At 38.4% G+C, this 13,698-nt stretch overlaps 1 protein-coding gene across 4 annotated transcripts in view, besides 1 other annotated feature; it reads left to right on the top strand.

The window, feature by feature from the left end:
• Positions 1 to 13,698, top strand: part of SGCD (sarcoglycan delta) — a 1,039,957-nt gene that overhangs the window by 87,425 nt on the left and 938,834 nt on the right. The window lies entirely within an intron of this gene.
• Positions 12,955 to 13,014: an enhancer, noted in NCBI's record as "active region_23492". NCBI's record gives its function as "activates an Ori minimal core promoter by ATAC-STARR-seq in GM12878 lymphoblastoid cells {active_cell/tissue: GM12878}" and the evidence as "EXISTENCE:reporter gene assay evidence [ECO:0000049][PMID:35858748]".

A 13,698-nucleotide genomic window follows, 5' to 3' on the forward strand; every position in this document is an offset into this window, starting at 1 on the left:
TCTTAAGGTAGTTCATTGAGGAAATTATAATCAAAATCTATGAAGTTTGACTAATTATTACTCTCAACATAAAGTTAAAATCCAAAAGATCTCTGTGGAATATTGGTCAGACAATGTATGAAGGCATATACATGATGTATAGTAAAACTAAATCCATTTGAGCTATCCATTATCCTAGGTTATCACATATATGTCAATTATTAACCAAAATTGGCAGTAAAGTGTTATATTAGTCTGTTCTCACATTGCTGTAAAGAACTACCTGAGACTGGATAATTTATAAAGAAAAGAGGTTTAATTTTCTCGTGGTTCCACAGGCTGTACAGGAAGCATGGTTAGGGAGATCATCAGGAAACTTAAAATCATGGTGGAAGCAAAAGGGAAGCAGACACATCCTACATGGCTGGATTAGGAGGAAGAGAGAGCAGGGGAAGGTGCCACACACTTTTAAACAACCAGGTCTCATGAGAACTCACTCACTGTCATGAGAATAGCAAGGGGGAAGACTGCCCCCATGATCCAGTCACCTTCCTCAGACTCCTCTTCCAACACTGGGGATTACAATTCTACATGAGATTTGAGGGGACCCAAATCTAAACCATATCAAATGTAAAGGCTGGAAAGAAAAAAAAAGTCAAATGTACACAGTTTTGCACATTGGAAAACATTTACTGGTGGTCGTATTTACAAGTAACCTGACTAGATATTTTGAAGTTAGAAAATTTAGGGTTCAGTCCATTGAGCAAATATACTGAGCTTTCCCTGCATGAAAACCATTGTACTAGGCTCAACTGAAAATAGTGGTGGTGGGGAGAGAAGATTTGTTCTTTCAAGAATTTGAAATTTGTTCAGAAGGATAAAAGCAAATAGAATCTAACAACTGAATAATGCTTGAAACATGACATATGAGCTAATAAAAATACATCAATTACAGTGGTCTTTAATTACAAGTTAGAGGTGCCAACCCCCTGCACAAATGACCATCCTCATATAACTTTTGACTCCCCCAAAACTTAACTATTAATAGCCTACTGTTGCCTGGAAGTCTTACTGATAATATAGATAACCGATTAACATATTTTGTATAATATGTATTATAATAAAGCAAGCTAGACAAAAGAAAACATTATTAGGAAAATCATAAGGAAAAGAAAATAAAGTTACTATTTATTAAGTGGCAGTGTATCATTATAAAGATCTTCATCCTTGTTGACTTCAAGTTGAGCAGGCTGAGGAGGAGGAGGAAAAGGAGAGTTTCGTCTTGTTGTCTCAGGAGTGGAAGAAGCAGAAGAAACTCTACATATAAGTGGATCCATGAAGTTCAAACCTGCATTGTTCAAGGGTCAACTGTAATTAGTTTTGGGTATAGTGATAGTAAATAAATGATGTGAGAGGCACTGAAGGAGAGCTTCCTAGAGGGGGTGAGTTTTGAGCAAAAAGTTGAACATGTGAGAGCTTATGGATTTGTGGGGACAAGGCAGGGTCATGACTTGGTTTCATTGGAATGAGTAAGTCCTATGCAGGTCCCAATAATAGTATAAAAACAATTAGAAACTATGTCAGTTGGTGACTAAATGGCTGCTAAAAAGTAGTTTGGTTCATAAAAATTATCAATTTTAATGATGTTTTGAGGACATTATACGTTAAAAAGTAAATTCTTTATTAGCCTGATGCCTAAATGCAACTACTGCACAACTGTTTTCATTTTTATATGGTGCTCTACAAGCCTTCACTACATATGTATATTTTACATTGTTGCAATCATAGTATATACAGCATTTTGTATTTTGCATCTCTTATTTAACTGTGCATCATAAACATTTTCTACCTTTCTATATAGTTACAATAACTTTAACAGTATAAATTTTATCATATTGATCTATTGCAATTTACTAAATCATTGCCTTAATATTGCATATTTAGATTGCCTCCTGGTTTTATTTTATTCTTGGTAATGCTGCAATGAATACTGCTGTACATACAATATGTTTTTCTTCTGTCCAATTATGTTAGAGTACAAATTCACAAAAATAGATTCATGGAATGTAAGGGTTAGAACATTTTTATAGTTCTTGCTGTTCTGCCATTCTGATATTAGGGTCCTGCAAGTTTTACTTGGCCACTAGCAAGGTATCTAGGAGCCGCTTTTCTCGTGTGTATGCCAACAATAGGTTTAATTACTAGAAATGTTTTTGTTAATTTTATAAGCTTGAAATGCTATTTTAAGATAGGTTTATTTAGGGTTTCTTACTTTCTTGTGTGGGTGATTATTTTCTTAGTTTGCTTATTTTTTGTATTTCCATTCATATAAATTGTATGTTACTCTCATTTGCCTTTTTAGCTAAAATGAAAACTCTTTTCTTTTCCAAATAATAAGAATTATTTAAAGGGCATGAGATTTATGTAGGACCAATGGAAAATATTCACTCAAGAACAAACCAGGAGAATTTTTTGTCCTTCCCCTGTGAAGTCTGAGCATATCTTAATACATAAAAAAATAAGTAAATGTGCTGCTGCTGTCTCCGGTTGAAACGGCAGGTAGGGGGTCCACTTTCTTAGGCTCTTTACTTTCCTGGCTGCTGAAACAGCTCTGCAGAATGAACATTAACATTGTTTTACAGTAACAGATACATATACTTGACAAAATAGTCTATGGCTGAGTTCAAATTGTAAGTTAAAATAAAGCAAAGTTGTTTTAGAATAATGACACTATAAGGAAAGTTTCACTGCAGATTTTTTAAAGACTCAGGCATGCAGAATATATTTTTTCCTTATTCAGTTTAGTAAACTATAAAACAACATATTGATTGCCGAGAAGAATACTAAAGTGAGCCAGGTTATGATTTAGAAAGCTTTCAACGTAGAAGAGGAGATAAGGTACGTATACAAATAGCAACAAGATGTGGGATTATGAGAACATTCTCTAACTGAAGAGTAAATAGATTTTATTCCATACAGAGGAGAAAGAGAATTACTTTATTGGGGTGGGGGGCCAGCAGGACTCATTTCAAAGTCTTGACAGGAGATTCTAGTAGGCAGCATTCAGGGTTGGAAGGAGGGTATTCCAAAAAGAAAGGCCAGCAAGAGGCAGGTCAGAGCAACAGGTGTGCAGGGAGGAGATCGAAGGAATGGGCAGAGTTCAGATTTGGCTGGACATGCCTCAGGTAAGAGGGGTAAGGCTGAAATCATCGTAGGAGAGGAGAGGGGTGCAGGCCTGAGAGGTGTGACTTAGGGATTTTAGACTTCTTGTTTTGGAAATGGAGATACTTTATTTATGTTTTTGAGATAGAGTCTCACGTTGGCATCCAGGCTGGAGTGCAGTGACAGGATCATGGCTCCCTGCAGCCTCAACCTCCTGGGCCCAAGTGATCCTCCCACCTGAGCCTCCTGAGCAGCTGAGACCACAGGCACATGCCACCATGTCTGGCTAGTTTTTAAATATTTTGTAGAGATGGGGTCTCCCCATGCTGCCCAGACTGGTCTTGAACTTCTGGCCTCAAGAGATCCTCCCACCCTGGCCTCCCAACATAATGGGATTACAAGTGTGAGCCGCCATGCTTGGCTGGGAATGGAGATACTTACGGAGAGTGACAGGATTAAAACTACCTTTACTCCACTTCCAACTTTTTTTTTGACATAAACTTTCAAGTAATGAATTTTTCTTTGGCAATTTCCATCCTTACACATTTTTTTTCAAGAACTTTCTGTAAATTGTTTGTGTCCATGAGAAAGAGTAACATATGAGAAAGAGTAACACATTTCAGAAAGAGAACTAGACTGAGTGTCATGAAACTGGATTATAGTCACAGCATACTGGGTTATTTGGGGTAAGTAAATCTGCCTCTCTGGGACTCAGCTTCCCCATGTGTCAAATGAGAATGAACTGGATATTTCCACTGTTTCTTCCACTTCAAACATTCTGAAATCCCAAATATATTTTGAGTACATTAAAGATTCATTTTCTAAAATCTATATATCTTCTCTATAAACTTGAAATTCCATCTTGAGGGAGTCATTTCTTTGTATTTTAGCTTTTAAATCATCAGTAGTTCTCTTTCCAAATGAGAATAACCCAAAGGTAATATGGCAAATCAGTGGGGTGTTGAGAATTCAACACGACTTAATTATATTAACGATCTCTCACTTGGTGTCTGGGGGAGTAGAAATGTGTCATGTGAAAAGTGACGATTGAAAAGAGGGAATACTTAATAATGGTAATAATAACAAAAACCACTTACATAGCACTTACCATGTACTTTTATGTGGATTAAATCACATAATCCTCCCCACAACCTTGTAAAATTGGTACTACTGTATTATAATCACTTCACAGATGAGAATGCTGAGGTATAGATATATAATTACTTCCTTAAGGGCACACAACTCATTAGTGGCAAAGCCAGAATTTGAACCCAGGAAGTCCGACTGAGCATCCGTGTGTTTAATTACCACACAGCACTTTTTCTGAAGGGTCTCCGGAGAGAAACATCTGTAGAGCTGGATTATGTCTATAGAAACACAAAGATCTCAGTCTCCAGGGGACATGAGTACAAGGTTTTAGGAAGGGAAGATACAAATGTGCCAGTAACACTCTTGTGACCTCAACATTTTGCTCAGGAATGTCATCATCAGAAGTATCATTATAACTAATCAAAACAATATTAGCCTCTCCCTTATCTGAACTGTGTTTTAAAATGTAGAATTATAGTTATACTACTTTGGCATGCATTGATTTCAGTTAGAGGAATTCGGAGGTGGATAGATGAGATTGTTATTTGGAGCTCTTAGTATATTGCAAGACCAGAATGTCCAAGCAGTGTGGCTGTGAGAATAGGGAAAACCAGTTGGGTTTTCTAGTCCTTGGGTCATGTTGAGGGACTAGGACTCCTTTATGCATTTCTCAGCTCAACTCTTTGAAAGGTCAAGCTTTCATCAAAGTCTTAGTATTTTTTGCTGGCTTTCTTTAAGAAATAGTTTTCCTATAGAATCCCTTAGAAAAACTACTTTTTGTTTTTTCTGAGTTTGGCTTCTCAACCCAGCAGACAGGCAGAATTGGAAAGAAAGGTCTTGTCTTCAATCTATAGAGGTGATCAGGTGATCAATTAAAATACTGTATGTACTGTCCGGGTGCAGTGACTCATGTCTGTAATTCCAGCACTTTGGGAGGCCAAGAGGGGTAAATTGCTCGAGCTCTGGAATTCGAGACTAGCCTGGGCAACATGGTGAAACCCTGTGTCTACTAAAAATAAAAAAATAAATAAATGAATAAACAAACAAACAAATAAATAAAACTAGCCCAGTGTGGTGGTGTATGCCTGTAGTTCCAGCTACTTGTGAGGCTGAGGTGGGAGGATAGCTTGAGCCCAGGAGGTCAAGGCGGCAGTGAGCTGTGATTGTGGCTCTGCACTTCAGCCTGAGTGACAGAGTGAAATGTTGTCTCAAGACAAAAATAATAATAAATAAAATACTGTATGTGACTGCGCTTTGTGACTTATTAACTGCCCTACAGATACAAGAGTTGTGGTTATATCCCCTGAACATTTATATTCCAAGTGACCATCACCAGAGAAATTCCTCTGTTGAAAGCAAGTATTTGAACAGTCAAGATCACAGCTTTTGACACCAAGCAGATCAGGGTTTCAATTCTTAAGTCTCTGTACTTCATAGACCACAGAGAGAGCATGGGATTGACATCCACACTGACCCTGTAAGCTTGTTTTGGGGCTTCGATGGGGTAGTACATGTGAATTGCCAAGTCCAGCCCCACAGAGAGTACTCAATAAATCTTAACTTTTATTGGTAGTGTTAGTGATAGTCATAGAAGCACCATTCTAAAGCAAGAGCCAGAAAAAGCAATAGAACAACTCTAATTACCCAGCATATACTTGAAACCTAAACTGAAATTAAAAGGTAAATTTTAAGAAAACAATTGTGTATCCCAAGTCTTCAGAGGCTTATTCTCTTTGACCCAGTTATTTCACATCTAGGATTCTATTCTAAGTAAATAGTCAGGGATTAAGGTAAAGACTTATGTACAAGAACAGTCATTGAAGAGTTTTTTTTTTTCCTTCTTGAGACGGAGTCTCTTTCTCTGTTGCCCAGGCTGGAGTGCAGTGGCCCAATCTCCGCTCACTGCAAACTCTGCCTACCAGGTTCACCCCATTCTCTTGCCTCAGCCTCTCAAGTAGCTGGGACTACAGGTGCCCACCACCACGCCCGGCTAATTTTTTGTACTTTTAGTAGAGATGGGGTTTCACCGTGTTAGCCAGGATGGTCTTGATCTCCTGACCTCGTGATCCACTTGCCTTGGCCTCCCAAAGTGCTGGGATTACAGGTGTGAGCTACTGTGCCTGGCCTGAAGAGTTATTTTTAACAGCGACTGTTAGAACCTACACGTCCATCCATAGGAGAGTGCTTTAATAGAGTGCAATGTTGTTATGAGATATTTATTTTGCAGATTATAAAAAATAATTCAGAAAAATATGTAATGACAAGGAGCAATACTATTTAATCTTTCAGAGAAAAGTCAAGATTATATTATGGTTTTAATGCTATTAATTATACTAATATTTATAAAATATGTGAACTAAATAGATGTCCTTTGCTGAAAGTGGAGATAAAAATAATAACGATAATGCCTATCTTAGAGGATTTTTGTGAAGACTATATGATGGTTACTACATGCCTGACATATAATACATGTTAGCTTTGTCATTGGATGTTGGCTAAATTTAACTTATTTTCTAAATTTTACTTAAACTTCATCATACACTAATGAGAATCTTTTATTTTACAGGAACTGAGCAAGATGCTGGGGATACAGAAATGATTAAGTAGGTACACTGAGCATATGACATTCACAATCCAGTGAGGAGAGAGGCATATAAATAAACAGGAACAGTGGATTTAGAACTATTTAAATTCTAGAGTCAGCTCCTAAGACATGAAACACATATTATCAAAATAATTAGGTGCACAGCCATTATAGGCACCTTTTCGTGAGTTTTAAAAAGGTGGCCCCTCTCTTTAAGAATGAATTATAGAAAGGTACCTCTTGCCCCCAGCTGAATCAGCTGCACGGTAGGGTACAGGCTGGGTTTCAGCCCCTACTGCCCTCTCCTGGTTTATTCCTGCTGGATGCAGGCTGCTCACCTGTTCACAGAGGCCCTGAAAATACCTTTGAAATGTCCTGAAATTGACGTGAAGCACAGTAAATATGATTTGGTGTCTATAACCTTGAACAATAATTATTTTGCACACTGAGGTTTGAGAAATACTGAACTAGATTAAATGATGGAACAAAGGAAAAAATCTATAGGCAGTTGTCCAGATAATCCCTTGTGTTGTATGGGAAATGTGCAGAGAATTCTGAAGTGTTTCTTCTTAACTGCAGAGTTGTCTCCATTATATTTTAATAGTGTCATAAGTTGAATACACATTGATAGTTTTGTTTTCTTGAGCATTGCATAATATAAGGAAAAGCATCGAGCCCAGGGATTCACATATAGCAAATGTTTACTAAATATTAGTTAATCCAAGTATTAACCTTGTTTCATCATATCCACAGGCATAGTGTGCTTTGAAAAGTTATAGAATAGTGCTTGCCTCTCATTTTTTGTTTTCCTCACTGAGGTCCTGCTAAATAACTCTGAGCAGTTGTCACTCCCAAACCCATGGCCATTGGATTAGGCAGAGTTCTTCAGAGACAAAGAACCAATACAGGATATTTACATATCCTTGTCTCTGTCTGTATCTCTCTCTCTCTCCATATATACACATCTCTATTTCTATATCTCTATATCTCTATATCTATCTATCTATCTATCTATCTATCTATCTATCTATCTATCTATCTATCTGGCTAGCTATCTAGCTACCTAGCTAGCTATCTAAAAGGAGATTTATTATGAGGAATATGTTCTTGTGATGACAGAAGCTGAGATATTCCACATTCTGCCTTCTCCAAGCTGGAGACCCAGAAAAGTTATGGTGTAATTCAGTCCTACAGCAGGACAAGATGAGCTGTCCCAGGTCAAACAGTGAAGCAGAAAAAAAAAAAAAAAAAAAGGTCGGGGGGTGGTGGATTTCTTTTTCCTCTACCTTTAGTTCTATTCAGACTCTGAGTGGATTGGATAATGGCCGCCCACATTTGGGAGGAAAATCAACTATACTGACTCTACTGATTCAAATGCTCATTTCATAGGAAAACACCCTTAAGTAAACACACCCCCAGAAGTAACATTTAATCTGGGCACCCCATGACCCAGACAAATGGACACGTAAAATTAACCATCATGGTTATTTGTCTTCTGCAAAGTTGGGAATCCGCCCATGAGCTGAATGGTGCATGATGTGGCTCCGCGGGAACACAATGTGCATTAGCATAGGGTTCTGGACAAAACTGTAAGGTGTCCCCAAGAGAGGCAGAACAGCTTCTGGTGACTAGCTGCACATTCACTCTCTTGCTACAAGTTTAAATAGTAAGCAGTAGCTATAAACTTTGGTTTCAATTTGTTAGACAAAGCATTGCCTGGCTCTTTCTTCTTTACAGAGTTATTATTTCTAGTTTGCTTGTACCTAATGCTTTCCTCCAGGGATTTCAGAACTGTTCAGCTGCAAATTCATATTTGATGTTCTTGTTCTAATCCCAGATTACCGCATGAGGACAGCTGGAACAGACCAAAAGAGAGAAACTCATAGGGGGAAGGAAATCATTAGCCTGTCTTGAGTCACCAGGACCTGATAAAAAGTCAGATTAACAAGGCTTAAGCTGCTATAGAAAGCCAGAGAAATGCCCTCAAATATTAATCTTGAATATTTCCATTCCACTAACATTGCCTGGAAGTATTTTAACATTCACCAGATAGGCATCCCATCTTGAAGAAACGATATGGTTCTGTAAAAAGAATAATGAATTATGTGAGGATTGATTTTCAGTATGGACTTTAGTCCTGCATAGTAATGGAATGTGGACTGGGGAGCAAGGCTGTTTGGATTCACATCCTAACATTTCACTTGATAAGTTGCCTCATTTGTAAAATGGGGACTGTAATAACATCTACCTCCTAGGGCTTTGTGTAGAATATTAACAAAACAGAATCTTGCAAGGGTTAAGCACTCAATAAATGTGAGATACTATTATTATTGTCATTATTGTAACAGATAAAAGTTGGCAGATATTGGTGGATGTATTCATTGTCAAATCTCCCTTTATTAGTCTTTATATTATTAAATAATTGGGAAAATAAATTCATTTTATTTTATATGCACCATAACTTGTTCAAATTTTATTTCTTAATATTGATAATGATTTATCATAAAATTTATAGTTTATGGAGTACCTTCACATGCATTTCTTCCTCCAAGCCCCACAAGGATGATGCAGCTGAGGCTCTGGGAAATTGGTTATTTCATCCAGGGTGCCTGATTGGCGAGTGGTTAAGACTTGAACCCATGTCTTCACACCCCAGATGCATTACTGTAGCTGTTACACTGAGTGGAGGTTGTAAACATACACAGGCTTCGTTGTTGTTAGAATCTTGATTTGATTGTATCGCTACCACTTACTATAGGTCATTTTGTGAGCAACTGCCTAATTTCATGGAATATCAGATTTTATATCAGTAAAAATTAGAGGACAATGACTTCTCTCTACTTGCTATATAAATTAAAAAATATATATATCAGATCACATATAGAGATGGAGCTATCCCAGCTCTGGGTCCATGGTAGTTAACGCAAAGGCAGTCTCTTCCTTCATTTATCGTTGATAATGTACCACACATAGTGCCAAACTATCATTTTTTAAAATCAGATCAATGTTTTCATCAAAGAAAGCTGATGTTAGAGTTTGATTCTAGTGGCACCAAGATCTCCTGTAATCCATGATTGCGTTTGCCAGCCATTCATGGTGATTAACATACTTTTGCGAAAAAGAAGTGACAATGAGGAGAATGAAGGTAATAAGGAGGAAAAAAAGAAAAGCGGACTTCCTCTAGACTTAGAGAACATACAAACTTCATTAGCAGCTAAATAGCAAGGGGAGAGGGTCCCGAACAATGATTTCACTCCTTTGCTGCTGTGAACTAGGTGTTCTAGACATAAAAATAGAGGAAAGACTAGAACATATGTTCAGTGGGTAAATGGCCCTCTGCGTTATATCATCCTGGTGAGGTTTTCTAATTATTCAGAATTATCATTTTGATTGTGAAACAAATGCTTGGTTTAGGGGAATCTTTGGATTAGACTGTGTGCTCCTTGTACTTCGTCTCCATATGGTTCAAGGATTTTAAGGTGAAATGCTACAAAAATGTAGGTGAATGATAAAGTTGCTAGAAGTATGTCAGAGAGGTGTGAGAATTTTGCCTTTTCATACTGTGGGGATTATTTTGTACACTGCTAATTTTATGATTAGTCCTGGATCGAGGAGTGCAAGCAATTGATATATCTTAGATGTTTGACTTTATTATTTGTTTTTTTTTTTTTGTTGTTGTTGTTGTTGTTGTTTTTTGAGACAGGGTCTCACTCTGTCACCCAAGCTGGAGTGAAGTGGCACAATCTCGGCTCACTGCAACCTCCACCTTCTGGATTCAAGCAATTCTTGTGCCTCAGCCTCTCAAGTAGCTGGGATTACAGGCACCTGCCACCACACCCAACTAATTTTTGTATTTTTAGTAGAGATGGGGGTTTCACCATGTTGGCCAGGCTGGTCTCGAACTCCTGACATCAAGTGATCCACCCGCCTTGGTCTCCCAAAGTGCTGGGATCACAGGCGTGAGCCACCATACTCGGCCTAGTTGACTTTAAATAACACAAAAGGAAGTTCCACTGAAAAGGTGAATCCTATTGCTGGTGTAAAGTGCAAACCATTAGTAAGTTAAGCAAGTCTAGCTCTAAAATAACCCAAATCTGCCTATTGCTTTCCAAACTCAGGGCTGCTATCCTATGTCTGTCACATGTGTTTCTCATGTTGATTACAGCATTGGGCTCCCAACTGGTCTCCCTGTTGCCACTCTTTCAGGCTCATAATCTATTTTCTACTCAGTAGCCAGAGTTATCTTTTAAAAACATAAATGAGATGATCTTACTTCCCTGCTTTTGAATCTTCCTGTAGTTTCTAATTTTACTTACTATACTTACAATAAATTCAAATTTACTGTGATGGTCTACAAGACCTGATGGAGTCTGACCCTTCTGTCTATGACTGCATCTCTCACTCTTCCCACTGTGGCTCCATATCATCCACTCTCCCTGGCCATCTTTCTGATGTCAGCCAGACTTTCTTCTGGCTTACATATTTGCATTTGGTGTTCCCTCTGTCTGAATGACTAGAGCCTTCTTGTCGTAAAAGTCTCAGTCCAAATATCACTTCTTCAGGTAGATCTTCCCTTTCTTTCCAGTGTAAGGAACTTTATTTGAAGAACCCTAAATGAAGTTATGTTACTCAATTATTCACTCGTTTAGCTGTCTCTCCCTCAACTGTAGTGCAGTTTCCATGACAGCAAGGATGATGTTCATTTCTTGCTGTTACCATTCCTGGTGTTCAGAAGGCACTCAAGAATCTTTGCTGAATGAATGAGTAATACATCTTAGAATGCTAGTTTCCATGAAAGGGCTACAACCAGTCTGCAGGATCTTCAGGTCAGGAACTGGGCCTTGTGCTGGTTTCCATGATACTGCTCTATACGTGCTCAGGAAATATCTGTTGAATTGGATTCAACCAAAACATTTGAATTTCTGTTCAGTGAGAAGTGTTCCCTATGTAAGAAGAAATTTAAAGCTATGTTTGATAACACTCTTCTGAGAGAAAGCCTGCTTTTTAGTTGACCAGCCATCCCAGTTTGCCTTGGACTGAGGGATCTTCTGGGGACATGAGACTAATGGGTCACCCTACATGCCTTCCACAGCTTTAGAGCCAGAAATACCTAACGGATCAGTTAGGAATTATATTTAGGTGCTAGTAACAAAAGCCAGAAATAACAGTATTTAAACCACAAGAGTTTACTGTTTCATGTAAAATGAGTTCAGGAGTGGGGACATCAGGGATGTATGGCAGCCCTGGTGCATCCACTTCTGAACTCATTTCATGTGAAAGGTCATCAGTGACCCAGGTTTCTTGTATGGTGTCCACTATCCTTAGTGTATGACTCTCATCTCAGAGTAGCCTCATGTTCCAGTGTGGCTGCTGCAGCTCCTTCAGCTATGACATAACATATACATTGCAGCCAGTCACCCAAGGAGTAAAGAGGGACAGAAAAGCACGCTTTTCTGTTTGTTTTCTGTTTGTTTTTCTCTTAAGAAGACTGTTTCATTTAAAATCTGTTTGTATTTCACAAGCTTTCTGTTAAGTAAAGGAGAGATTGGGTAATATGAGATAATCTTTCAGCCGGGCACATAGCCTCTTCTCTAAATAATTCTTTTTTTTTTTTTTTTTTTTTTTGAGATGGAGTTTCACTCTTGTTGCCCAGGCTGGAGTGCAATGGTGTGATCTTGGCTTACCACAACCTCCATCTCCCAGGTTCAAGCAATTCTCCTGCCTCAGCCTCCCAAGTAGCTGGGATTACAGGCATGCACCACCACACCTGGCTAATTTTTTTTTTTTTTTTTGTATTTTTAGTAGAAACGGGGTTTCTCCATGTTGGTCAGGCTGGTCTCGAACTCCCAACCTCAGGTGATCCACCTGCCTCGGCCTCCCAAAGTGCTGAGATTACAAGAGTGAGCCACTATGCCCAGCCTGAATAATTCTTATTAAGAATTTCTGTTACTAAGAAAGAGAGATGGGGTGATGAGTAATACACACTTACTTAGCATCTTCTGCCACATCTAGTTTCACTACTTATTGACTTAGTGACCTTACAAGGGTTGTTTCATTTCTCTGTGCCTATTTTAAAATATGCATTATGGTGATGCAAACAACCATAATAGTAATAGCTACCTATCTACGGGGTTATGCTCTTTGTCAGGCATTTTATGTACATGATGGTCACCCTCACAATAATGCCACAAAGGGTAGGTAATTATCCTTGTTTAGATCAGAGGAGTGAGACTTAGCTATTTGTGGTAAAGCCAGAATTTAAACCCAGAGCAGTTTGGCTCAATACCCATTCTTTCCATTACACTTTGCTTTCTACCTTATTGGCTGTCAAGATTCAATGAGGAAATGAACATAAACTGCTTGACCTGTAAATTTTTGAAATAAACCAACGCAATGATTCTGTTAAGAAAATATCTTGGTTTTCTCTAACAACAACAACAGCAACAAAATATCTATGGTAGATGTGTGTAGGAAGTGATTTGAGGTCACCTTGAAGCCAGCTGACTCTGAAGAACAACCCTTCTTCTTCCCAACTTCTGATGTTGAAAAACTCTCTTTTTCAGAAAATTATATTACTGGTCTGACTCAAATCACTTCTTTACTTTTTATTTTTTTTTTTATATTTTATTTTTTTGAGACAGAGTCTTGCTCTGTTGCCTAGGCTGGAGTGCAATAGCCCGATCTTGGCTCATTGTAACCTCCGCCTACTGGGTTCAAGTGATTCCCCTGCCTCAGCCTCCCAAGTAGCTGGGATGACAGGCATGTGCCACCATGCCCAGCTAATTTTTATATTTTTAGTAGAGACGAGGTTTCACCATGTTGGTCAGGCTAGTCTGAAACTCCTAACCTCAGGTGATCTGCCCACCTCGGCCTCCCAAAGTGCT

The sequence above is a fragment of the Homo sapiens genome, chromosome 5 (assembly GCF_000001405.40).
Source record: "Homo sapiens chromosome 5, GRCh38.p14 Primary Assembly".
Lineage (NCBI taxonomy): Eukaryota > Metazoa > Chordata > Mammalia > Primates > Hominidae > Homo > Homo sapiens.